At 42.9% G+C, this 25,383-nt stretch overlaps 1 protein-coding gene across 8 annotated transcripts, besides 2 other annotated features; it reads left to right on the top strand.

Annotated features, from left to right (window-relative positions):
* ATPSCKMT (ATP synthase c subunit lysine N-methyltransferase) lies at nt 22-24,403 on the top strand. 8 transcript variants are annotated; one of them, NR_047669.2, is made up of 6 exons: nt 22-52; nt 10,554-10,843; nt 12,870-13,072; nt 13,295-13,432; nt 14,649-14,699; nt 22,263-24,403. NR_047669.2 is itself a non-coding variant. In NM_001258389.2 (5 exons), exons 1-5 carry the CDS (start codon nt 37-39, stop codon nt 22,286-22,288), a joined length of 477 nt encoding a protein of 158 aa, NP_001245318.1. In that variant the 5' UTR covers nt 22-36; the 3' UTR covers nt 22,289-24,403. The 8 variants fall into 8 exon arrangements, 5 of the variants coding, with proteins under 5 accessions (NP_001245318.1, NP_954584.2, XP_047272669.1 ...); NR_047670.2 differs by lacking the exon at nt 12,870-13,072 and adding an exon at nt 5,410-5,476 and having other exon boundaries at nt 10,554-10,868; NM_001258389.2 differs by lacking the exon at nt 12,870-13,072 and having other exon boundaries at nt 13,295-13,388.
* Nucleotides 63-122: a silencer, noted in NCBI's record as "silent region_15914". NCBI's record gives its function as "represses an Ori minimal core promoter by ATAC-STARR-seq in GM12878 lymphoblastoid cells {active_cell/tissue: GM12878}" and the evidence as "EXISTENCE:reporter gene assay evidence [ECO:0000049][PMID:35858748]".
* Nucleotides 133-252: a silencer, noted in NCBI's record as "silent region_15913". NCBI's record gives its function as "represses an Ori minimal core promoter by ATAC-STARR-seq in GM12878 lymphoblastoid cells {active_cell/tissue: GM12878}" and the evidence as "EXISTENCE:reporter gene assay evidence [ECO:0000049][PMID:35858748]".
* Nucleotides 24,404-25,383: the final 980 nt, after the last annotated feature.

The raw sequence follows: 25,383 nt of genomic DNA, 5'->3' as shown, positions 1-25,383 counted from the left end.
TTTTTTTTTTTTAAAAACGCTGTTGGAAATCTCGCGATGGAGGGAGGAGGAGGTGAGGCTGGAGCGGCTTGGCGGGTTCCTGGGGGCATGAGAAGGGGTGCGGGCGGGCCGGGGGCTCGCGGTCAGCTGAGGTCTCCACTGTCGAGGCGGTGACCGGGTGCGGGCGGCTGCTCTGGCCTCCAGCCTGGCCTTCGGTGACCAGAGCTCCTGGTCGCCGCGCGGTGCCCGCGCCGGTTCTGGCGATCCTTGTCGGCGGGCGCGTTTCCCCAGAGACTGTTCTAGGCTACTTAGTGCAAGTGACTCAGCCTTTGGCACGATCTTAAGGAATAGGGATAGTGGAGGCACACTGATGGATTGGAATCGCAGTTCTGCCGCTCTTCCTAGCTGTGGCTTTGAGGAAATCCCTTAACTTCTTTGTCCCTCGGGTTCCCTGTCTGCAAAGTGACGGTGGTAACAGTAGTGCCTACTCACAGGGCTGCTGTGAGATTCAAGGAGAACGGTGCCTGGCAAGCTGAACACAGTGTTGGTAAATAAATTAACATTTTGCACAAATGGTTCAGTAACTTGCCACTGGTATACAGCTAGTAAGAAACAGTTACACAGCCTGATGCAATGGGTCCCACACTCTTTTTTTTTTTTTTTTTTTTTGAGACAAGACTGTAGCCCGGGCTGGAGTGCAGTGGCGCGGTCTCGGCTCACTGCAGCCTCCGCCTCCCGGGTTCCAGTGATTCTCGTGCCTCAGCCTCCCAGGCAGCTGGGACTACAGGCACAGAACCACCACGCTCGCTAATTTTTGTATTTTTAGTAGAGACGGTGTTAACGCCGTAGTGGCCAGGCTGGTCTCGAACGGCTGACCTCAAGTGATGTACCCGTCTAGGTCTCCCCAAGTGTTGGGCCTGAGCCACCGCGGTGCCCGGCAGGTCTCACTCTTAAGCCCTGTATTATGCTGCCTCAGAAAGATCTTGGCAACCGCAGCTGTCCTCTAAATCTCTTATGCTGCCTTCCTCCCCGCCCTCCAAGATCATGACTTAATATTTGATAGGTTTAGATTTATTTGTTGAGGGTTTCCATCCTTGCTTCTCCCCTACTGCCATGGGCAGGGACTTAACTAATAAAGTTGTATTATTCCCAGACTTTATTAGGCACTCAATAAGTGCTGAAATGAATACATGCACTATAACATTTGACCCTGTCCTGAAACTCAAGAACAGACTTGGCGACTGTGTTCCCATCTACTCTGGGGCTGAGGCAGGAGGATGGGTGGAGCCCAGGAGTTCAGTTTACAGTGCGCTATAATCGCGCCACTGCACTCCATCCTGGGCGACAGAGCGAGATTCTGTCTCTAAAAACAGGGAGGACTGACTGTCATGGGATGGTTGGTGATCTGTTAACTCTTCATGCTTGGCATACTTACGCGCTAGACCTTGAAGTGTTCTTCAAGGACATTTTAGATTTTGGAGTCAGGTCTTATTTCACGTTAGCTTTGCCAATTCAGTGTTTCCTCATTAAAAATGGTGACTTCTGCAATTCATTTGGCTCCTTCGATTGTTGTGAAAAATAGAATGTCCTATGGCATCCTCTGTGTAGTTGATTCCCTGTCAAAACACTGGGGAGTGAGAGAGGATTTTTCCTAATATCAATAGCTCATGTATGTCAAAAGGACACAAATGACATTAGACTAGTATAAGAAAGGCTTCTTAAGGACATAAGAATATATGCTAAAGGGACATAACATATGCTGTAGTTATTAAACAGGTATGCACATACAAGTGCACAATGAACAGTCCTTATGAGTTGTGACATTCTGATATAAGCCCGCTTTAAACACGTGGCTAGTTACTATTCCTAACAGGCTCCTTCTCTCTTCTTGGCCTTTTTCTTTTGGCTTGAACTTGGATAAGAACCTTGGGTACCTTATTGTACATCTGTCACTGCCTCTAGCTTCAGCTGATCCAAATCTGCCACTAAAAATTGAAGTTTTCAACCAATATTAGAAGTCAATAAGCAAGCAGGGCCCGGACACAGTAGAAGTTAACCTCATTCTGTGTTTGACTTTAAAGGATGGACTACTAAGTGCTCAATGAAAGTAGCCAGTGGCCACTGCAGCCATTATTTAATAGAATGGCTCCTTGTTCCAAAGAACACCTGAAAGAAAGTTCTTGCCATTTATATATAGGATAGTCTGGGAGTCTGAACATGTTCCGTTAGAAGGATTTGTAGAAACAGTCTTGATTTTAGTTTTGAATATTCAGGGCCTGATTTTTACTGATAAGAATCAATACAGGTCCTGGCATGGAGGCACTTTAGGAGGCTGAGGCGAGAGAATTGCTTGAGCCCAGGAGTTTGAGACCAGCCTGGGCAACATAGGGAGACCCTGTCTCTAAAGAAAAAAATTTAAAAAATTAGCTGGGTGTGGTGGCATGTGCCTGTAGTCCCAGCTACCTGGGAGGCTGAAGTGGGAGGATCGTTTGAGCCTGAGAGGTCAAGGCTGTGGTGAGCTGTGATTGTGCTACTGCACTCCAGCCTGGACGACAGAGTGAGACCCCATCGCAAAAAGGAATCAATTGTTTTTCCTGAATGGAGCTAACAATGTAGTTCCTATATTGTACATCCTATATTGGATGTACATAGTAACTTCTTCCAAAGCTCCAGCAATGGGTATGGATCTTGATTTCCCCATGCAAATGTTTGTTACGTTGCAAGACTTGCAGGCATCAAAACCTGGGACAGAAAATAGAATGATTTCATCAAGAGACTCATTGCCCCTGTGTTGCCTTTCTTAAAAACACAAATATTATGGTGACTTTGCTCAAAAAGTTTCATCACAGTGCACATAGAATAAAATACACATTCAGCCTGGCCTTCAGAGGCCTGCCTTCCTGTTTGTCTCTCACTCTGTGCTCCAGAAAGGCTTTCCCTGCCTTCCACACCTTGGTTCCAAGGCTTGCTGCTTTTGGCTCCAGCTCAAATATTCTCTCTGCCAACACCTCACTGGTCCCATTGTTGGAATCAGTCTTTCCTCCGCCTCTCCCATATGCCTGTAGCGTTTTGTTTGTGTTATAGCATTTCTCACAACCAGCCCTGTGTCTGCCTCTCCTGGACCCCACCCCTCATCTGCCTAGATGGGAGGCCGTGAAGAACAGGAACTTTTTATTACATCTTTTGCTGGTTGAATTGAAAGGTACATATCTACACAGGTGAAAAATGAAATTTGGGTCATCTGACTTGTGTTTGTTTAATAAACTTGGTGAACAAATGCGTAAGCAAAAATATGGCATATCCATACAATGGAATATTATTAAGCCATAAAAAGAAATAAAGAACTGATACAAGTTGCAACCTGGATGAATCTTGAAGACATGCTAAGTAAAAAATGTCAGTTACAGAAGTCCACACACTATACAATTCCATTCCTTTAAGTCCAGAATAGGGGATTCTTTTTTTTTTTTTTTCTTTCTTTTTTTTGAGAGACAGGGTCTTGTTCTGTCTCCCAGGCTGGAGTGCAGTGGTGCAATTTTGGCTCCTTGGCTCACTGTAACCTCTGCCTCCCCGGTTCAGGTGATTCTCTTGCCCCCAGCCTCCCAAGTAGCTGGGATTACAGGTGTGCACCACCATGCCTGGCTAATTTTTTTTTGGTATTTTAGTAGAGTTGTTGTTTCACAATATTGGCCAGGCTGGTCTGGAACTCCTGACCTCAAGTGATCCGCCCACCTCGGCCTCCCAAAGTGCTGGGATTGCAGGCGTGAGCCACTGTGCCAGGCCCCAGAATAGGGGATTCTTGAGACAAAAAGTAGATTAGTGGTTGCTTAGGGCTGGGGGATAGAGGGTGGATGCGGGGGTGATAGCTAAAGGATAAGGGGTTTCCTCTTGAGGTAATAAAAATGTTCAAAAATTGACTGTAGTGATGGTTGCATGTATCTGAATATAAAAAGAAACATTAAATTATATACTTTAAGCAGGCAAATTGTATGTATATGAATTATATCTCAAAGCTGTTAAAAATTGAGCCCCTCCTTGCATATGATAGTATTGAGAATAATAATAGCAATTAATAGTCATTACTTAGCCTCTCAGGCTTGTGCTAAATGCTTTGTTTACATTATTTACCTGTTCCAAGAATCCTATGAGGATAGTATTATTGCAAAATCTTTTTTTTTTTTTTTGTAATGAGGTCTCACTCTGTCACCCAGGTTGGAGTACAGTGGTGTGATCTCGGCTCACTGCAACCTCCACTTGCCAGGCTTAAGCAATCCTCCCACCTCAGCCTCCCAAGTAGCAGGGACCACAGATGCACACCACCAGGCCTGGCTAATTTTTTGCATTTTTGGTAGAGATGAGGTATTGACATGTTGCCCAGGCTGGTCTTAAACTCCTGAGCTCAGGTGATCCACCCGCCTCAGCCTCCCAAAGTGCTGGGATTACATGCATGAGCCACTGTGGCTGGCCAATTTTGAATTGTGTTTATTTATTTTATTTTATTATTATTTTTTGAGACGGAGTCTCACTTTGTCACCCAGGCTGGAGTGCAGTGGCGCGGTCTCGGATCACTGCAAACTCCGCCTTCCAGGTTCACGCCATTCTCCTGCTTCAGCCTTTCAAGTAGCTGGGACTACAGGCGCCCACCACCATGCCCGGCTAATTTTTTTGATTTTTAGTAGAGACAGGGTTTCACTGTGTTAGCCAGGATAGTCTCAATCTCCTGACCTCATGATCTGCCCGCCTTAGCCTCCCAAAGTGCTGGAATTACAGGCGTGAGCCACCATGCCCAGCTTGAATTGTGTTTAAACAAATTATTTCCAAATTTTACTGAGGAGAAAACCATGCCTTAGTAACAACTTACCTTGTGTTAAACAACTAATTAAGTTCTGAGACTCCAGAACTGTGTAACCCAAATCCTCTTAACTGCTGTACTGTACAACTGGAATGTCCACAAGATAATTTTTTACAGAGGGCATGACACATGTACAAATGTGCCTTGACTTTTCTTTTTTTTTTTTTTTGACAACCAGGGTATTGCTCAGTTGTCCAGGCTGGAATGTAATGGTGCGATCACGGCTCACTGCAGCCTCAGCCTCCTGGGCCTAAGCGATCCTCCTGCTTCAGCCTCCCAAAAAGCTGGGACTACAAGTGCATGCCACCACACATGGCTAATTTATTTTTTGTAGAGATGGGGTCTTGCTATGTTGCCCAGGCTGCTCTTGAACTCCTGGCTTCAAGCAATCCTCCTGCCTCGGCCTTCCAAAGTGCTGGGATTATAGGCATGAACCACTGTGCCTGGCCGACTTTTCTTAAATAAATGCATGACTACCACTTGAGCAAACAGAGGCATACTTTGTTTTATTGCACTTTGCAGATAGTGCACTTTTTTGTTGTTGTTGTTAGAGATAGGATTTTGCTATTATTGCGCAGGCTGGTCTCAAATTCCCGGGCTCAAGCGATCTTCTGGCCTCAGCCTCCTGAGTAGCTGAGATTACAGGTATGAACCAACATGCCCCATTCAGTAGTGTGCTTCTTACAAACAGAAGGTTTATGGCAGCCCTACGTGGAGCAAGTCTGTTCGCACCATTTTTTCAACAGCATCATGCTCACTTTTTATCTCTGTGTCACATTTTGGTAATTCTTGCAATATTTCAAATTTTCCACTATTTTTATGTCTGTTATGGTGATCTATGATCAGGGATTTTTGATGTTTCTATTGTAAATGTTTTGGGGCTCCACAAGCCATGCCCAAATAAGAGTGAACTTAATCGATAAATGTGTGTTTTCCTACTGCTGCACTGGCCATTCCTCTATCTCTCTCCATCTCCTTGGGCCCTCCTATTTCCTGAGACACAACAACATTGAAATTAGGCTGATTAATAACCCTACAATGGGCTCCAGGTGTTCAAGTGAATGAGTCACACTTCTACCATTTTAAATGAAAAGCTAGAAATTATTAAGCTTAGTGAAGAAGGCATGTGGAAAACTGAAATAGACTGAAAATTAAGCCTCTGGCATCAAACAGTTAGCCAGGTTGTGAATGCAAAGAGAAAGTTGTTGAAGGAGATTAAAAGTGCTACTCCAGTGAACACACAAATGATAAGAAAGTGAAAAAGCTTTATTGCTGGTATGGAGCAAGTTTGAGTGGTCTGGATAGAAAATCAAACCAGCCACATCATATCTTTAAGCCAAAGCCTAATCTAGAGCAAGGCCCTAACTCTTTTCAGTTCTCTGAAGGCTGAGAGAAGTGAGGAGAGTGCAGAAGAAAAGTTTGAAGCTAGCAGTGGTAGGTTCATTAGGTTTAAGGAAAGATAAGCCATTTCCAGAGCATGAAAATGCAAGGTGAAGCAGCAAGTGCTGATGGAGAAGCCGCAGCAAGTTATCTAGAAGATCTAGCTAAGATTGTTGATGAGGGTTGCTGCACTAAACAGATTTTCTTTTTTTTTTTTCTTTTGAGACGGAGTCTCGCTCTGTCATCCAGGCTAGAGTGCAGTGGCCTGATCACTGCAACCTCTGCCTCCCGGGTTCAAATGATTCTCCTGCCTCAGCCTCCCGAGTAGCTGGGATTACAGGGGCGTGCCACCACGCCTGGCTAATTTTTGTATTTTTAGTAGAGACTGGGCTTCACCATGTTGGTCAGACTGGTCTTGAACTCCTGACCTTGTGATCCGCCCACCTCAGCCTCCCAAAGTGTTGAGATTACAGGCGCGAGCCACTGTGCCTGGCCAGCAGATTTTCAATATGGATGAAACAACCTTCTATTGGAAGCTAGAGAGAAATCAATGCCTGGTTTCAAAGCTTCAAAGAATAAGCTGACTCTCTTGTTAGGGGTCAGTGCAGCTGGTGACTTTAAGTTGAAGCCAATGCTTACTGGCCATTCTGAAAATCACAGAGTCCTTAGGAATGATGCTAAATCTACTCTGCCTTGCTGTATAAATGGAACAACACAGCCTGGATGACAGCACCTTTCTTTACAGCATGATTTTTGAATATTTTAAGCCCACTGTTGAAACCTACTGATCAGAAAAAGGATTCCTTTCAAAATATTACTGCTCATTGATAATGCACCTAGTTACTACTCAATTGCTCTGGTGGCGGTGTACAAGGACATGAATGTTGTTTTCATGCCTGTCAACACAGCATTCATTTTGTAGCCCAAGGATCAAGGGGGTAATTTTGACTTTTAAGTCTTGTTATTTAAGAAATACATTTCGTAAGGCTAGAGATGCAATAGATAGTGATTACACTGATGGATCTGGGCAAAGTCAATTCAAAACCTTCAGGAAAGGATTCACCATTCTAGATGCCATTAATAACATTCATGATTCATGGTAGGAGGTCAGAGTATCAACATTAATAGGAGTTTGGAAGAAGTTGATTTCAATCCTCATGGATGACTTTGAGACCTAAGTGGAGGAAGTAACTGCAGATGTGGTGGAAATAGCAAGAGAGTTAGAAGTGGAGCCTGAAGATGAGACTGAGTTGCTGCAACCCCATGATAAAATATCAGTGGATGAGGAGTTGCTTTTTATGGATGAGCAAGGGAGGTTGTTTCTTGAGATGGAATCTACTACTGGTGAGGATGCTGTAAACATTGTTGAAATGATGACAAAGAACTTAGAATATTTTATAAACTTAGTTGATAAAGTAGTGGCAGAGTTTGAGAAAATTGACTCCAAATTTGGAAGAAGTTCCACTGTGGGTAAAATGCTATCAAACAGCATCACATGCCGCAGAGCAATCTTTCATGAAGGGAAGAGTCTATCAATACAGCAAACTTCATTGTTGTCTTATTTTCAAAAATTGCCGCAACGACCCCAACCTTCGGCAACCACCACCCTCATCATTGAGCAACCATTAACGTCAAGGCCAGATCCTACACCAGTGAAAAGATTATGACTCACTGAAGGCTCAGATGATCATTAGCATTTCTTAGCAATAAACTCTTTTTTAAAAATTAAAAAAAATTTTTCGAAGATAAATCAGACCAAAATGTCAAGCAATAAAGGATTTTAAAATTAAGGTACATACATTGTTTTTTGAACAGTGCAATTGCACACTTAATAGACTCCAGTATAGTGTAAACATAACTTTTATATACAGTGGGAAACCAAAAATATTTGTGTAACTTGCTTTATTGCAATACTCACTTTATTGCAGTGGTCTGGAACTAAATATTTCCAAGGTATGCCTGTAAGTTCCTCCGTAAAATGCCAAAATTATAACTGAAATTATTTAAAGCTTTTGCTTTCTATCAAATGCCATCACCTTCTTAAAGTTAATTTTCTTTACCCCCATCACTAGCATTAATACTAGCACTAGCATTAGTAGCATTCTTCCTCCCACCGCCCCCTCCGCCGACCCAGTTCGTTTTCCACTGTGAAATCAGTTTTACAACTCATTTTAAGGGGCTTCAGGAATCAAGAACAAAGCTGCGCTGAGTGGGGGATGCTGGCGATTGGCTGGCTGCCCTGAGGGTGACCCACTGCTGTGTGCCAGCTTTCTGTGTGTCTTGGGTTCAAATTTGTACTGCACTAGAATAGATTGCCGTAGTTCATGGGTGTGGTGGGAAGAAAAATGTCCTCTCCAGGAATGTCCACATTCTAATTCCTGCACCTGTACAGATGTAATCAGTGGTCTTGAGATGGGAGATTATTTTGGATTATTTATGTGGGCCCAGTGTTATCATGAGGGTTCCTATAAATTAAGAGGGAGCCAGGCATGTGAGAGAAGGTGATGTCAGGACAGAAGCAGAGATTGGAGTGATGTGGGGTCAAGAGCCTAGGAATGTGGGCAGCCTCTGGAAGCAGGAAGAGACAAGAAAACCTGCCCGAGGGCCCCCAGAAGGAACGCAGGCCTGCCAATTCATTTCAGACTGACCTCCAGAACTGTATGATAATAAATGGTGATTTTCTTTTCTTTTTTTTTTTTTTTGACATGGAGTTTCACTCTTGTTGCCCAGGCTGGAATGCAATGGTGTGATCTCGGCTCACTGCAAGCTCTGCCTCCCGGGTTCAAGCGATTCTCCTGCCTCAGCCTCCCTAGTAGCTGGGGACTACAAGCATGCACCACCACGCCCGGCTAATTTTGTGTTTTTAGTAGAGATGGGGTTTCTCCATGTTGGTCAGGCTGGTCTCAAACTCTCAACCTCTGGTGATCTGCCCGCCGTGGCCTCCCAAAGTGCTGGGATTACAGGTGTGAGCCACTGCGCCTGGCCATAAATGGTGTTATTTTAAGCCACTAATTTTGTGACAATTTCTTACAGCAGTTATAGGAAACCTATAACTGCATTCGACCCTGTTCTAAGTGCTTTACCTCCATACACTCATTTCATCCTCACAATATCCCTGTGACCCCCACTTTGCAGATGAGAAAACAGGCTCAGCAAGGACCAGGGATTCAGGGTCCCATCATTAGTGAGGTGGCAGAGCTGGGATCCTAACTTTGGCTGGCTCTGGAGGAGTCCTGCTTTTACCTCCTGTACTGTGCTCCTTGTTAATCAATTTTAAAATCAATTTTGTCAATATTAATTTCAAAATCTTGAGATCCCATTTAAATGCATTTTAAAGGACAAATCTCAAAAGGATATTTAAGGTACCATTCATTTCTTTGTAATCAGTGATTGGGGTCTGCGTTATTTTATGTTTATGATAGTACTAAAATGATGATCTTATTTTTTATTCTTTTTTTTTTTTTTGAGACAGAGTCTCGCTCTGTCACCCCGGCTGGAGTGCAGTGGTGCGATCTCGGCTCACTGTCAGCTCCACCTCCCGGGTTCATGCCATTCTCCTGCCTCAGCCTCCTGAGTAGCTGGGACTACAGGCGCCCGCCACCACGCCCGGCTAATTTTTTTTTTTTTTGTATTTTTAGTAGAGATGGGGTTTCACCATGTTAGCCAGGATGGTCTCGATGTCCTGACCTCGTGATCGGCCCGCCTTGGCCTCCCAAAGTGCTGGGATTACAGGCGTGAACCACCACGCCCGGCCTTATTTTTTGTTCTTTTTGGATCCGCTGTAAAAGTCTCTTTATTACCATACTTATTTAAGATATTTGGTAAAACCTGATTTTTGTCTCTTCTATTACTTTAAAATTGTATTGGTGAAACTGGATTGTAGATGCCAGACCAGATTTGATGTGGAATCCTTTAATTCTACTTGAAATTGGGTAATAATTAGACATCTTTATGCTTATTTGTTTATGAGGCTTTGTTAGTTCAGAACATAAAAATATGTAGTGCATGATTAAAACTTGCACTAATGGATATTAAATTAATAAATTACTCGATAAGTTTGAATACATTGTTTTGTAAGGATGACTCCTAGACACACAAAAAATCAGTACTTTGGAAAGAAAAGATTTTAGTCTTCTCATAGTATTGAATAATGTTCTTCAAAATACCTTAATAGGATTTAGAACTAATTGTGGGATCCTACAGTTGACATTTAGCTTGTATTCAGCTAAATTATCCTTTAAAAAGCATGAGTTTGTTTGCCAATGAGAATTGTAGAAAAAAATGCTCTCTTGGATTTCAGATTTGGTGCTACATGTGTCTCTTCTGCTTGCTTTCAATCTAGGTATACCCCTAGAAACACTTAAAGAAGAAAGTCAGTCAAGACATGTTCTACCTGCAAGTTTTGAAGTCAACAGTTTGCAGAAAAGCAACTGGGGGTTCTTACTTACTGGGCTTGTGGGTGGCACCCTGGTGGCTGTGTACGCTGTAGCCACGCCGTTTGTAACGCCAGCCCTTCGAAAAGTCTGTTTGCCGTTTGTACCTGCAACTACGAAGCAGATTGAAAATGTTGTGAAAATGTTGCGATGCCGAAGAGGATCCCTTGTGGACATCGGTAGTGGGGACGGACGCATTGTGAGTTCTGCTAAAACATTTTAAGGTTTGAAACCAGAACTTAAAATTTCTGCTTTACATTTAGTAAGGCTTACACAAAGACTTAACTAAATCTGACAGCTTGAAAGAGTGCTCATTTCATTTTATGTTTGTTTGACCAAACTATTCAACTACCAGTGTGTTTGGAATTCATTTTTCCCAGATTTAATTTGTTCTTAAAGGAGGAAGTGTGCTGTAAACATGCCAGGTGAAAAAGAACAGTTAACTGGTAATTATCAAATTGTCTCTTAAAATACATGGGCCAACAGAGGTGGCATGAGAAGAAATATGTTAAATCATGGCATTTCACTCCTTTACATTTTTGCCCCATAGTTGTTTGCTTCTGCATTTGTCTGTATTTATCCATGTATAAGTAATAATTCCTGGGGTAATACAGAGTTAAGAAAGAGCCAGTGATTAACCCTCACTAAGCCGAAGATCAGTCTTTTTATGAACTTCTCTCACTTGACCGCAGTTGGGCACCTATAAATAAAAGGCCACTGATGGGCAAGTGGGTGTCTCAGAGCAGGTTCCTCTGTGGGCAGGGTGGCACCATCCTTAGCCTCATCCCAGAGATAAGCTGAAAAGTTCCAGCAGCAGTGGGAAAGGCTGGTGCTATGGAAGCATTTAGTGTGAAGGCCAGCAGGACTCTATCACCTTTCACCGGCTCCTACAGACATAGAGACTGATTTTGTGATTCTGAGCTAGAATAATCACGAGGAGGTTAGAAAGTTAAGATATTTTTAATTTAATTTTTTTTTTTTACTTATAAAATTGTGTTAAGATACACATACCGTAGTGTTTACCATCTTAACCATGTGCAGGTGTACGGTTCGGGGTGTGAAGCATATTCACGTTGCCGTGCCACCATCACCACCACCCATCTCCAGAACTCTTTTCATCTTGCAAAACTGAAACTCTGCCCCGATTAAATAATAACTTTCTACTCCTCTCCTCCCCTCACCCTCTGGGAGCCACTATTTGTTTCTAAGAAATTTATTAGTGGCCAGGTGTGGTGGCTCATGCCTGTAATCCCAGCACTTTGGGAGGCTGAGGTGGGCAGATCACGAGGTCAGGAGTTCAAGACCAGCCTAACCAACATGGTGAAACCCTTTCTCTACTAAAAATACAAAAATTAGCCAGGCATGATGGTGCACGCGTGTAATCCCAGCTACTCAGGAGGCTGAGGCAGGAGAATCGCTTGAACCTGGGAGGCGGAGGCTGAAGTGAGCCAAGATCACGCCACTGCACTCCAGCCTGGGTGACAGAGCGAGACTCCATCTCAAAAAAAAAAGAAATATATTAGTCTGTTTTCATGCTGCTGATAAAGACATACCTGAGACTGGGCAGTTTACAAAAGAAAGAGGTGATTAGACTTACGGTTTTACACAGCTGGGGAGGCCTCACAATCATGGTGGAAGGTGAAAGACAAGGAGGAGCAAGTCATGTCTTACATTGATGGTGGCAGGCAAGGAGAGAGCTTGCGCAGGGAAACTCCCCCTTATAAAACCATCAGATCTTGTGAGACTTACTCACTGTCATGAGAATAGCATGGGAAAGACCTGCCCCCATTATTCAGTTACCTCCCGCCAGGTCCCTCCCACAACACATGGGAATTCAAGATGAGATATGGGTGGGGACACAGAGCCAAACCATATCAATAAATCAAGGAGAAAGTTTTGAAATTCATATTTGAATGCTTTACGTATTTGAAGAGTATCTGTGGTTTCTGAGAAAATGTTTTCTTGCAGCACTGTAGTACTTGGGAACTATCTTAGGTGGGACAGCTGAGTCAAGGGATGCTCCCTTAAAGAATGGGGCAGGACAGAACAGGCAGAGAGAACCCAGGACTGCCCCACATCCCTCCCACTCTCCGGAGGCCAGTGGGATTCCACAGTTGACGTTATTGGGATTCATTTCATTTTACTTTTACCTGTTTTCAGTTTTGAGTAAACAGTCATTAACTACAAAGGAAATATGTAACTAATTGCAGATTTTTCATTGACAGGTTATTTTTATTGCATATTATTACTTGTTCACAAAACCATCCTCCCAGACACTTTCATTTCACTGCTGCTGTGCTAGCCCACTGATGGAGAGATGCAGTGGATTTTCAGCAATGTTTTGTTCGACCTCCCCGGGGGTTGGCTGACCTAGAATCAATTATGGAGGTGTTCCAAGTGAACCTGAATGTCTATTCTGATACTTGAGGTGAAGTCTTTAACCAATCAAGGAAACTAAGTTGCATGGGTTGACTATTACGTTGTCCACAAAGCTATATCGCTTTAGAGACACATTTTAAAATGATGTCTTAGTCACGGGAGGTGCTTTTTGATTGGATGTTTAAACCATTGATAGGAAATATTCATATTGTTTGACCATGTATGTTCATTTTTTCTTCTTATTTTGAATAAATCCTGCCTCTCTCCACAGGTCATAGCGGCTGCGAAGAAAGGGTTCACAGCAGTTGGTTATGAATTAAACCCATGGCTAGTTTGGTATTCCAGATACCGCGCTTGGCGAGAAGGTGTGCATGGATCTGCCAAATTTTATATTTCAGATTTGTGGAAGGTATGTAAGGCAGAGAATGGCCCTAGAGAAATCCAAGGGAAAATTTTATTATTCAAAATTAGTATGACTGAGAACTGAAAAATGTATTAAAAGAAAAATAATTAAAATCCAAGTGAATATTCTGGCATAATGAAATATGTAAAATTGATACGTTTTACAAATAGTCTCCTTTAGAGAGAAGCTTAAAGTTTTTATATGATAGGTCTTGTGAATTCCAAGAATTTATTTACTAAATTAAAATGTTGTCATTTCTGTTTCTTACAAAATAATGAGATTTTTCATCTCATTTGGAAATCCTATAAATTATTATTGATAAATATTAGACTTTTCCATTTGTGTGCCTGTGTGAGTGTGTGTATGCATATTCGTATATTTAGAGAGACACAGAGATGGTTGCTGGAGAATCGTGCTATCACGGTTATTTCTTATCCTCATAAAGTATAAGATACTTCCAAATTTATTTGTACTCTAAAAACTCTAAAAATGCCCTGTAATTTTGCTTTAGGAATGTTCCATAAAATGCTTTTTCTTAAATAAGAATTTTCCATTGTAATATTGTCATCAGTAGCTTACAAAAATTCACTTGAGTTTTGCTTGCATTGTTTTTTTATGCCATATGTGCATAAACGATCTCTCTATAGAGTAAATAAGACTTATTGGGCAATAAGAATTTTAACTGGCAAAGCACATTTCCCCCCAGTTTTTCAACTAAAGACCATTTTATTGCACTTTTTTACATAGTATTTTAGAGAAGAGGAGGGGGACTCAAATTTTAAGGATGGTTCAACAACAACAAAAAACAGATGGTTCTGAAGTCTCCTGTGTTCTGGTGAAGCTGGTGGTATAGAGTGGACTGGTGCGGGAACACGTGGCCCCGGTGCCACCAGCTGGTCACAGTGGGGTCACAGTGTGGTCACTAGCTGTCTGACGCATGACCACTGGGGCGTGCCCTGGATGGAGTCACCCTGAGGATGAGATGGGATGACTTACAGGGAAGCGTTTGGAAAACTGCAGTGGATTGAATTAAAATGAATGAGAGCATGAACATGTTATTCTTTTCCTTGTGAAATCTTAAGGAGGGCCGCTGTTCTTAGGAGTTCATCAAAACCCACCGTTTGGTAAAATGGAAAACTGCTACCCATTTCTGTAAAACAAGTTAAGCTTCACGTTTGGCTTTTTGCACTTAATCTACTGATTATTTTCCCACCTTGTTCAGGTTACTTTTTCGCAGTACTCGAACGTTGTTATTTTCGGTGTGCCTCAGATGGTGAGTATGCACTTTCCTGCTCTCTGTTTGGGGTTAGATGATGTTGAAGGCCCTTCCAGCCACAACACCACCACTCACCCGTGTGAGGGTGATGGCCTCCCAGAGATTTTAGGGAACACTGGATTTCAGTTCATTGATTTAATAAAATACTTCAGAGTCTTAGAAGTTTAATCATAAAAGATTCAGTCATACTTTTAAACTTTGGCTTCAGATTAAATTCTCAATGATTTCCCTAAGCCTTAAACATTCCAGTTTGGAAACTGCTTTCTGAGGTCCCGTGTCTAATGTAGTTTGCAGTTTTCACAGCCGCTCACTTCCACTTCGCTGAAATCGCTCCGGAAAGTTAATGAGATGTTCCCTCTGAATTGATCATTCCTCCCATTTGGAAGGAAGATAATTTTCTGGGTGGATGAGCATTGAGTAGTTTCAGTTTACCTCAGTTTACTGATTTGCTAGAGGATGGCATATTGAACTTTGATTATGTACTTTCAAAAGTGAAAATGCCACAGTATTGTACTGAAAATGGCCCTCCTTAGCCTTTGGAAGGATGGTCATGGTGGGAAGCTTTTGCTGTATTGCTGGTGCACAGACCATGGAAAGAAATCCCTTTTCACGTTTCAAAGTCTATCATTGTAGCCATAATAAAATTGGCAGAATTGAATGTTTGCTAAAATGCTGTGATATAGCTGATAGGGTTTTAATTTTTTAAAAAGACAATTTACCTTTTTTTATTTTGTTTTTTAATTAATACCCAAATTTTTGTATAAGACATTTCAGTGCTTGAGAAATGTATTTCTACTACTAAGACCTTCAGTATAATGCCATATTCTTTACTTTTAAAATATAATTTAGAAATGCTTTTGTAAAATATTCTTTTTTTTTTGAGCCAGGGTCTTGTTCTGTTGCCCAGGCTGGAGTGCAGTGGCATGATCTCGGCTCACTGCAACTTCTACCTCCCTGGTTCAAGCAATTCTCCTGCATCAGCCTCCTGAGTAGCTGGGACTACAGGCACCTGCCACCACGCCCAGCTAATTTTTATATTTTTAGTAGAGGTGGGGTTTTGCCATGTTGGCCAGGCTGGTCTTGAATTCCTGACCTCCAGTGATTTGCCTGCTTCGGCCTCCCAAAGTGCTAGGATTACAGGTGTGAGCCACTGTGCCCAGTCTTGTAAAATGTTCTTGAAAGTGACAGTATCCTGTACATTTATAATTCTCATTAGGCCTAAAATTAAGACCAAACTTTGGTATTCAGCCTTTTCTTATAGAAGTGAAATGAGGTAGAAGGGCACACTCCCTGGTCATTTTTAAAAAACTGATTGGGATCATAGATTGATACGCAATTTTGATGGTGATTTATTACCTGTGATGTTTGGGCTTTCGTTCTAAAATGGAATTGTTAGCTTTTTGGAGACAAGTAACTTTAATTTGAATCTGTGCTTTATAAAAATAGAATGTTAGCATTTACTGGAAATTCCATGCGTTGTGGAGAGGCAGGATGATGAAATCAGGATTACTTGTCCCAGCGGGGGGCAGCAGTGGCCTTTGGTAGTCATCGTCACTCCAGGACCTGTGGAGCCGACTCCGGGTGCTTCTTACCATGTTTGAAGTAGACTGACTCACTTTATGGAGCTGTTCAATCAGGGGAAATAAGAGTCTTATTATTTATGAATACTTTTGTGATTACTGTCCATTCTTCTGTATGTAGAGAAATCTGAAATAAGGAACATGTACCATTTCACTATTCCCAAGGAGAAAGGGGAGCAGCTGAAGGATACAAAGTGTCCACGTTCCCTGTAATAGAGATTTGGCCAGCTTGCTGTCTTCATGCTGGTGGGTCGGTCAGGGGTGCGGAGGCTGGGATGGCTTCTGTTGGTTTGGAAGGCTAAGTTTTGTGTGTGGAGGCCCCTACTTTCAGCCTTCATCAAGCTGTGTCTCAGTGGAGGCCATGAGGGGAGGGGGCGTGTGCTGTGCCAGTCGACCATCCCAGCCGTGGCTGGGTGACTCCACAAAGCCAGCATGCCATGTGACGTTCCCTGCTGATGCCCAGGTAGATACTCAGAGAGCCAGGGGAGCCTTGGGGAGGCCCAGAGCCAGGAATCTCTGGGGCTGTAAACCCTCACCCCTGCTTCTGATACCAGACTGATGATCCCTAACAGCTCTGTGCGGTTGTAGCTCAAAATCAGAGGTGCCCTAGCATTTCCACACAAGTATGTATCTATCTAAAAAGGAGCAGGAATCCCATCTGGATCTGGTCAAGCCAGTTGTGGGGTTGTGAACATCCATGTTTAACATGAGCTTACGCACTGAGAGCATCTTTTCAAAGTGCAGAGCAGATCAGCCTTGCTCTTGTGTAAAACCCTTCTGTGACTTCTTGCCGTTTTTAGGGATAAGGCCCAAATACTCACTGTGGCCCTGAGGCTGGTGCGCAGGGGCCCCTGCTCCCCTCCAGCCTCCCCTGGGCCATGCTGCCCTCAGCTCTCTGCACCAGCCCTCCGTCCTTCTCTCGGCCCCCTGGACCTCGCCATTGCTGCTCTTCCCAGAGCCTGGGGTGTTTCCTTCCTTCTGACTGTGGTCTCCCTGGCTCTGGACTTCGTCGAACAGCACTGACCACTCATGGGCCAGCTGTCTTTTCCTCTGCAAGGCAGTCCTTGATGACAATGAGGCGAGCTCCAGCGGCCCGCTTTACTCTCATATAGTACCTTGTTGCCCTGTCCTTAGATGGGTTATTGTGCATTTCTTTGTCTGAAGGCTTCGACACTGCTAGCTGTGTGCACTGCACCATCAGCTCAGGGGCAGGGACCAGGCCTTTCTTCTTCTAGCTGGCCCAGGCCTCCAGCACCGCAGCACTGGCACAGGCATCACTCAGTAAACGGTTGTTGAATGAATGAATGTGGTCTAAATATACCCATTATTTATACTTTTCCCAGAAAGCTATCTACTTTCATAACTTCAAAGAATGACCAATTTTAGTTACAAATTCTGTTATGAATTTTTTTTTTCTTTTTTTTGAGACAGAGTCTCACTCTGTTGCCCAGACTGCAGTGCAGTAGAGCGTGATCTTGGCTCACTGCAGCCCCAGCCTCCTGGGTTCAAGCGATCACCTGTCTCAGCCTGCCAAGTCGCTGGGAATACAGGCGTGTGCCACCATGTCCGGCTGATGGTTTTAGTTTTCGCAGGGACAGAGTCTCACTATGTTGCCCAGGCTGGTCTCAAACTCCTGGGCTCAAGCAGTCCTCCGGCTGCAGACTCCCAAAGTGTTGGGATTACAGGTGTGAGCCACCATGCTTGGCTTTTATGAACTGATGAACAAAAATATTATCATTATGTTCTAGTGAAGAAAAATAACTCGTAGCTGAATCACTTTTTCTTCCTTCTTTCCTTCATTCATTTGACAAGTGTGGCCACTATAGCAAGCCCTGTTCTAATCGCTTGGAATACTTCAGTGAGTACAAGAGAAAACACACCTGCCCCAGGTGCTCATATGCTAGTGGGGAGAGCAGATATTACATGAGATGCCTGTAGAAGATGCATCATACAGCAGAAGCAAAAGTGCTGTGGAGCAAAGCAAAGCAAGGGCGGGGTGGGGCAGGGACAGGATCCCTGCAAAGGTGACCTCTGAGGTTAGGGAGGGGGCGTGCAGGGAAGAGCGCCTCGGGCAGGGTGGGGGGCAGTGCAGCAAGCAGGCAGGTGTGGCATGAGTGTGCGTGGGGAGGTCAGAGAGGAAGCAGGATGGGAAGGACACCAGCCCTTGGAAGGGCAGGAGCCTTGGGTGAGCAGAGAGGAATGCAGGGCTGGCTGGGCTTGAGAAGGGTCACAGGCTGCCATGTGGAGGCAGGGGTGGGTACAAGCTGGGAGACAGGTTATAAGCTCTTGCAGGTGTCCAGGCCACGGAGTAGCTGGTGAGAAGCATCAAATTCTGTGTGCATTGTGAAGATAAAATCCACAGGACTAGCTGGCAGATCTAACGTTGGGGAGAGAGACAAAGGTGGGGTCACAGGCAGCCCCAGCGTGTTGGCCCAAGTTACTGGAAGTTTGGAGTTGCCTTGGGAAGTGGAAGCTTGTGTCTAGCACCTTAGACCACCGGGCCATCCTGCCACACGCTTGGAGTTGCTTTGAACTATGCTGGGGAAGGTGCAGGCGGAGCTGGCTGGGAAAGTCAGCATGGGCATGTGAAGTTTGGGTGTACATGACATCAGGCTGGCAGTGGTGGGTGAGAAGGAGTCTGGGGTTCGGGCCAGAGGGTGGGCTGGAGATGTAGGTTTGTTGGGCATCCGCACAGATGGAGCCTGGGAGTAGCTGAGACTCCATGGGGAGCACGAGGATGAGCTGTTGAAGGCATGAGCTCTGGACCCTGGCATTAGAGGTCTAGGAAATTAGGGGCAACCAGTAGGACTTGAGAGGGGAGCCTGGGGAGGAGGAAGTGCCAGGAGTGAGTTACACTGGCGGCCCAGTGAAACCGGGGTTCCTGGGGGGCGGGATGTGTGTGTGTGGCAGGGCTGGGTTATCTTATACCTTTCAGAACTATGTTTAAAGTTTTGTAGATGTAATTAGAATAGGATGAGTTCATGCCACTTTGAAACCTATAATTGTATGAATAATTTTGAATTCCTTTACGCAGACATGACACATCACGGCTTCTCTTTGCGTATGATATCAAGCACCAGATTCATTGCATATTTATGTGTAATTTAGTCAGTTAATTTCTTATGATGGAAATAGCTCCTTTCATTTTTAGGTTTATCTTGACTTAGCATATGACAATCATTTGGAAATAAAAGAAACTATAAAAGAGAAAAGAATAATAGCATCATGAATAAGTTTATAATTATCCTTTTTATGAACAAAATTACCATAAGAAATCTCTGATATTTTGGAAAAACACATATTGTTTCATTCTTTGCTTATTTAATTTTTCCCTCAAGGAACAAAACTTTTTTTTTTTAATCTATACTGGCTGTTAAAAGAATAGAAATTCCTCCATCCTTAATAGAATTTATTCTGTGTTATCTTCGCATTGATTCTAATGAAGAATTAGAATTTAGTTCATTCCAGCTGTAGGTCATGTAGAAGTTTTTCTGAGCACTTGGTTATAAGATATAGGCCAGGAATAAAACCATCATAGAAGCCCTATCAATTTCATCTTGGTTACTTTTTAGAGGAATAATTTTTGCTTAGATCTTGTTTTCTAAATATCACTTCTCACTAAGAGGAACCAGGAATCTTTGAGAAAAAGGCTGAATCAGGACTGTGGAAGGGAAGATACAAAAGCCAGGAACATTTTGTTAAGCCTGAATGTAAGGAGTGCTCACAGTATTTGATAACAGCATGTCCAAAGGACAGAGAAGCCAGCGGCAAGAGCCTCCCAGTGGCCAAATTAGGAGAATTCGAGCATTCGAATACACAAGGACAGTAATGGATTATAACCCATCAAATGAAATAAGAATATAGGTGTTTGTCCTTATAGCAGATCGGTAGATAAGGAGACAGAGAGAGGCAGAGCAGGTGAGGGGAAAGCTGTTCCTTACGGTAGAGTGCCAACTGTACATCTAGAAGAAAGGACAGAATTAGCAGATTGATTCAGGCCAGAATCATCCGTGAGTGCTATTTCAAGTGTAGGGACTCTCTGATGAGTAACAGGATTTACATCATCCCAAAGCATCTCCCCACAAACTACTCATTATAAAAGCAAAAATAGCAACTGCACAATGGAGACACCGGATCCCACCTTCACTGTGTGGTTACTGCCATCATCAAGAGCAGAAGGGCCTCCTGGGTGTCTGTGGAGCCCTGGTAAGTTCACAGCTTCACAGGTGGGGTGTTGCCAAAGACCACACACCGCACTGCTCATGAGCACACATCAGAGGACCCACCGCCAGGGCCACTCGGTCCGATAACTGAAGAATGTTATTGTCACGAAAACCAAAGAAAGACTGAGCAACTGTTTTCCGTCTAAGGAGACCAAAGGAATGTTATGGCTAAATGCAAAAATGGTCCTGGACTGGATCATACCCTTGGGAAATGTTATACAGAACATTATTGGGGCAATGACAGAATCGCAGTGTTATTTGGAATTATTATATTGGAATACAATGTTAAATTTCCTGAATATAACTGTGCTGGGATTATGTATGAAAATATTTTTCTTAGAAAATACACACTGAAGTATTAAGGAAGTAAAGGAGCATATTGTATGCAACCTTTTCTGCAATGGTTTAGGAAAAAAATGTTCAAAGAGAGGAAGAGAACAAATGTGACAAAATGTTGAAAATCGGTAAACCTGTAGGCCAGCTGCAGTGGCTCACGCCTGTAGTCCCAACACTTTGAGAGGCTGAGGTGGGCAGATGGCTTGAGCTCATGAGTTCAGGACCAGCCCGGGCAACATGGTAAAACCCCATCTCTACAAAATTAGGAGGTTGAGGTGGGAGGATGATTTGAGTCTAGGAGGCGGAGGTTGCATTGAGCCAAGATCACACCAATGCAGTCCAGCCTGGGCGATAAATCTTGTCTCAAAAAAAAAAAAATTATTTGAACCTGGGTATAGGTATACAGGAGTTCTTTGTTCTGTTATTGCAACTTTTCTGGAAGTTTGAAATTATCCCAAAATAGCAAGTTAAAAGAAGAAAGTAGAAAAAAATTATTTTTAGGATGTGAAGGTGGTGAAGGTGGTAATATATTTTTAGGATCTGCAGATAAGTTTTTAAGTAGTTGTTAATTTGCTGATGTAATTAAAATATCAATACTTCTAGCAAATAATAAAAACTCTTTATTGGTAGATTGATAATAAAATGGTACAACGGTGGTATAAGTTAGGCTATCAAGAAATTCATTATCAGTATATTATGGATACATTTTTAAAAATTATGAAATATTTCATGATATTTCCAGTTGGTAGAATTGTGCATATTTTTTCATAGTCTAACTATACCACATTTCATTGACTGTAGATCTTGATTTTAGGATGCACCATTGCTATTGAGAAACAAAAAAATTGCTAATTATAATTCTAAGACAATTAGTGTTGTGTGATGTGTCCTGATTTCAGAGATGTTAAAAATGTGCAAAAATGTGGCTGGGCGCAGTGGCTCACGCCTGTCATCCCAGCACTTTGGGAGGCCGAGGTGGGCAGATTGCTTGAGCCCAGGAGTTTGAGACCAGCCTGGGCAACATAACAAGACCCCTCTCTCTTAAAAAATGGTGGAAAAATAATGTCTTAAATATATGAGACTAGGTATATTGAAGTGTTGAAGTGCGTTATTTAAAACTGCTTCTTATTAAAATTACTGCCACATCCTGATTTTATTTAGAAAACTATAAATCTATGATAGACATCTGCTAAAAATGGCATATTTTATAATTAATACTAGAAGGTGTTCTTACAACTGCTGTCAGTGTATCTTCTGTATTTCAATGGATTGTTTGTTTATGTGTTTGTGTCCCAGAGTGCTCTTTTTAACAAGTAGTAATTTTTGCTCAGGTATTTTCAGGGACTCTTAAAAACAGGAAATTTTGGGATCATTTCCTCTGACTCACTGCTCACTAAAATAATAGCTGTTACTCTCCACAGATGCTGCAGTTGGAGAAGAAACTTGAACGTGAACTTGAGGATGATGCACGAGTTATTGCTTGCCGGTTCCCTTTCCCACATTGGACTCCAGACCACGTCACGGGGGAGGGGATAGACACAGTGTGGGCATATGATGCAAGCACTTTTAGAGGCCGTGAAAAGAGGCCCTGTACATCGATGCATTTCCAGCTGCCCATTCAAGCATAAACTTGACTGGGAGTGTTTTTCTGAAATATTGTAGTCTTCCCTGATCTTGTAGAGACTTACAGCTGTGTCCTTAGCAAAGGAGCATAATTGTCTTTGGTTTGGAATGAGAAATTACTATTACTTTCCTTAACTGTTGGAGAAAACAAACGAAGAAAAACAGGTAGATTTAAAATCTGCTTTTGATGCTATTTTCTTAAAAATTGTACTTACTGCCTTTCCATGCACCTGGATGCATGAAAAGATGAATAAGTGATGGTCATGGTTATGGGTAGGAAAATAAGATGCCAATAGCTCTTCACATTATAAACAATATGGCTTAATGCCTCGATAAGGAGAAATGATTTTTAAAGACAGTATATATTACCAACTGTTTGTAGTATCCTATAACTTTGTTCATACTTAAGTTGTATCTCTTTCCTTTTTGTACTTCATGGCAAAATTAATTTTCTAAAGGATTCAGAGAGGCGTTTATATTTTATAACATTTATTAGAAATAATTTGTTCCACCACTAGATTACTGTATTTTATGGAATCTAAGCTGTATATGTGTACATTTGTATACATGTATGTGTAAATGTAAGCCTGACGTGGGTTCAGATTCCAGTTTTGTCATCAGCAAGAGGCCTCGGACCCATGACTTACTGCCTCTGAGCCTTGGCTTTCTGTGTATCTCTGCCACTGGGATAATGGTACACATAACAGTGGAGTGGGGACCAATTTCTAAAACTCATGGCACCTAGTCTTTGGTCCATAAATGGTGTTTGTTATTTTAGACACTGAGAAAAATCTTATTCACAGAAGTTGCAGATTATTTCTGCTAGTCACTTTTTTATTTCTTGAGAGCTGCCACTCATTTAATATTTCTCATTTATGAGAAGAGACTTGACTGATTTAGATAAAAGACGAATTAAGGAAAACCTTTGAACGTGAGTAGACAAGCTTCATATATCTGTAAAGTGAATATTGAATGGTAGCTTGAGTCATTCGTACTTATCACAGAAAAGAATTGAACTCCCAGTCATACACCTGTAACTGAAATACCAAACTGTCTTAATGGAGATGTAATGAAGTAAGATGGTCACATCTTTAACTAAACTTATAAAAATTGGTCAGTTTGATCATTTTCATTTAAATGAGAAACATCTGGGGACACATTCATTCATTCAACAAATATGTATTCAGTATCTACTGTAGAAGAAGCTCTGAGATTCTGCGGTAAATAGACATGCAAAGCCCCTGGCCTCATGGAATTCCTATTCTGGAAAGGAGAGACAAACAAATAAGCAAGGGAATCTTAGTGTGTGTGGAGTTCTCTGAAGTAAACAGTGTGATGGTGTAGAGAGCACCTGTGTGAGTCTGAGATGAGGGGATGTGATGTTGTGGACTTCAGCCAGGTTTTTGGCAGCTAGTGTCTGTCCCTTTTTCAGTAGCTCCAGTCTTCTTATGAAGAATGAGTTCTTTCTGTGGTGTGTGACTTTAGTGGGAGGGCAGCTCTTGCTCTATGCCTCTCAGTTGCCTTCCACTGTAACCAGTCCTGTAACTGGTCTGGGCACACTCGGAGGGGGATCCATGGTAGCTCCTTGCCATGAAGATGTGGGTAGAGGAGGGTTCTGTGGGGCCTCGGAGGTGTTCAACATTTTCTAGAAGTGTTCCTGGTGGGTTTATAGAGGCATTGATATGGTTTGGCTGTGTCCCTACCCAAATCTCATCTTGAATTCCCACGTGTTGTGGGAAGGACCTGGTGGGAGGTGATTGAATTATGGGGGCAGGTCTTTCCTGTGCTGTTCTCATGATAGTGAGTAAGTTTAATGAGATCTGATGGTTATTTTAGGGGGGAGTTTTCCTGCACAAGCTCTTTTTGCCTACTACCATTCACGTAAGATATTCCAGCCACATGGAACTGTAAGTCCAATTAAAGCTCTTTCTTTTGTAAATCGCCCAGCCTCAGGTATGTCTTTATCAGCAGCGTGAAAACAGACTAATACAGTAAATTGGTATGTTGCTGAAAAGATGCCCGAAAATGTGGAAGCAACTTTGGAACTGGATAACAGGCAGAGGTTGGAACAGTTTGAAGGGCTCAGAAGAAGACAGGAAAATGTGGGAAAGTTTGGAACTTCCTTGAGACTTGTTGAATGGCTTTGACCAAAAGCCTGATAGCGATATGGACAATAAGGTCCAGGCTGAGGTGGTCTCAGATGGAGATGAGGAACTTGTTGGGAACTGGAGCAAAGGTGACTCTTGTTATGTTTTAGCAAAGAGACTGGTGACATTTTGCCTCTGCCCTAGAGATTTGTGGGACTTTGAACTTGAGAGAGATGATTGAGGGTATCTGGCAGAAGAAATTTCTAAGCAGCAAAGCATTCAAGAGGTGACTTGGGTGCTGTTAAAGGCATTCAGTTTTATAAGGGAAGCAGAGCATAAAAGTTTGGAAAGTTCGCAGCCTGACAATGTAATAGAAAAGAAAAACATATTTTCTGAGGGGAAATTGAAGCTGAATGCAGAAATTTGCATAAGTAACAAGGAGCTGAATGTCAATCCCCAAGACGATGGGGAAAATGTCTCCAGGGCATGTCAGAGTCTTCATGGCAGCCCCTCCCATCACAAGCCTGGAGGCCTGTGAGAAAATGTTTTTGTGGTCCATCCCCAGGGTCACTGTGCTGTGTGCAGTCTAGGGGCTTGGTGCCCTGTGTCCCAGCCATTCCAGTCATGACTAAAACGGGCCAAGGTACAGCTCGGGCTATTGCTTCAGAGGGTGGAAGCCCCAAGTTTTGGCAGCTTCCGTGTGGTGTTGAGCCTCTGGGTGCACAGAAGTCAAGAATTGAGGTTTGGGAACCTCCGCCTAGATTTCAGAAGATGTATGGAAATGCCTGGATGCCCAGGCAAAAGTTTGCTTCAGGGACGGGGCCCTCATGGG

This window comes from Homo sapiens, chromosome 5 (assembly GCF_000001405.40).
Source record: "Homo sapiens chromosome 5, GRCh38.p14 Primary Assembly".
Lineage (NCBI taxonomy): Eukaryota > Metazoa > Chordata > Mammalia > Primates > Hominidae > Homo > Homo sapiens.
Note: the sequence above shows the minus strand (reverse complement) of the source record. Positions and strands in the feature narration are given on the sequence as shown.

Excerpts from the sequence above, each read along its gene's own strand:
- ATPSCKMT (NM_199133.4), top strand. Across the intron at positions 10,844-13,294 it reads GTAGTGGGGACGGACGCATT|GTCATAGCGGCTGCGAAGAA; the intron begins GTGAGTTCTGCT and ends CTCTCTCCACAG. Across the intron at positions 13,433-14,648 it reads ATATTTCAGATTTGTGGAAG|GTTACTTTTTCGCAGTACTC; the intron begins GTATGTAAGGCA and ends CACCTTGTTCAG.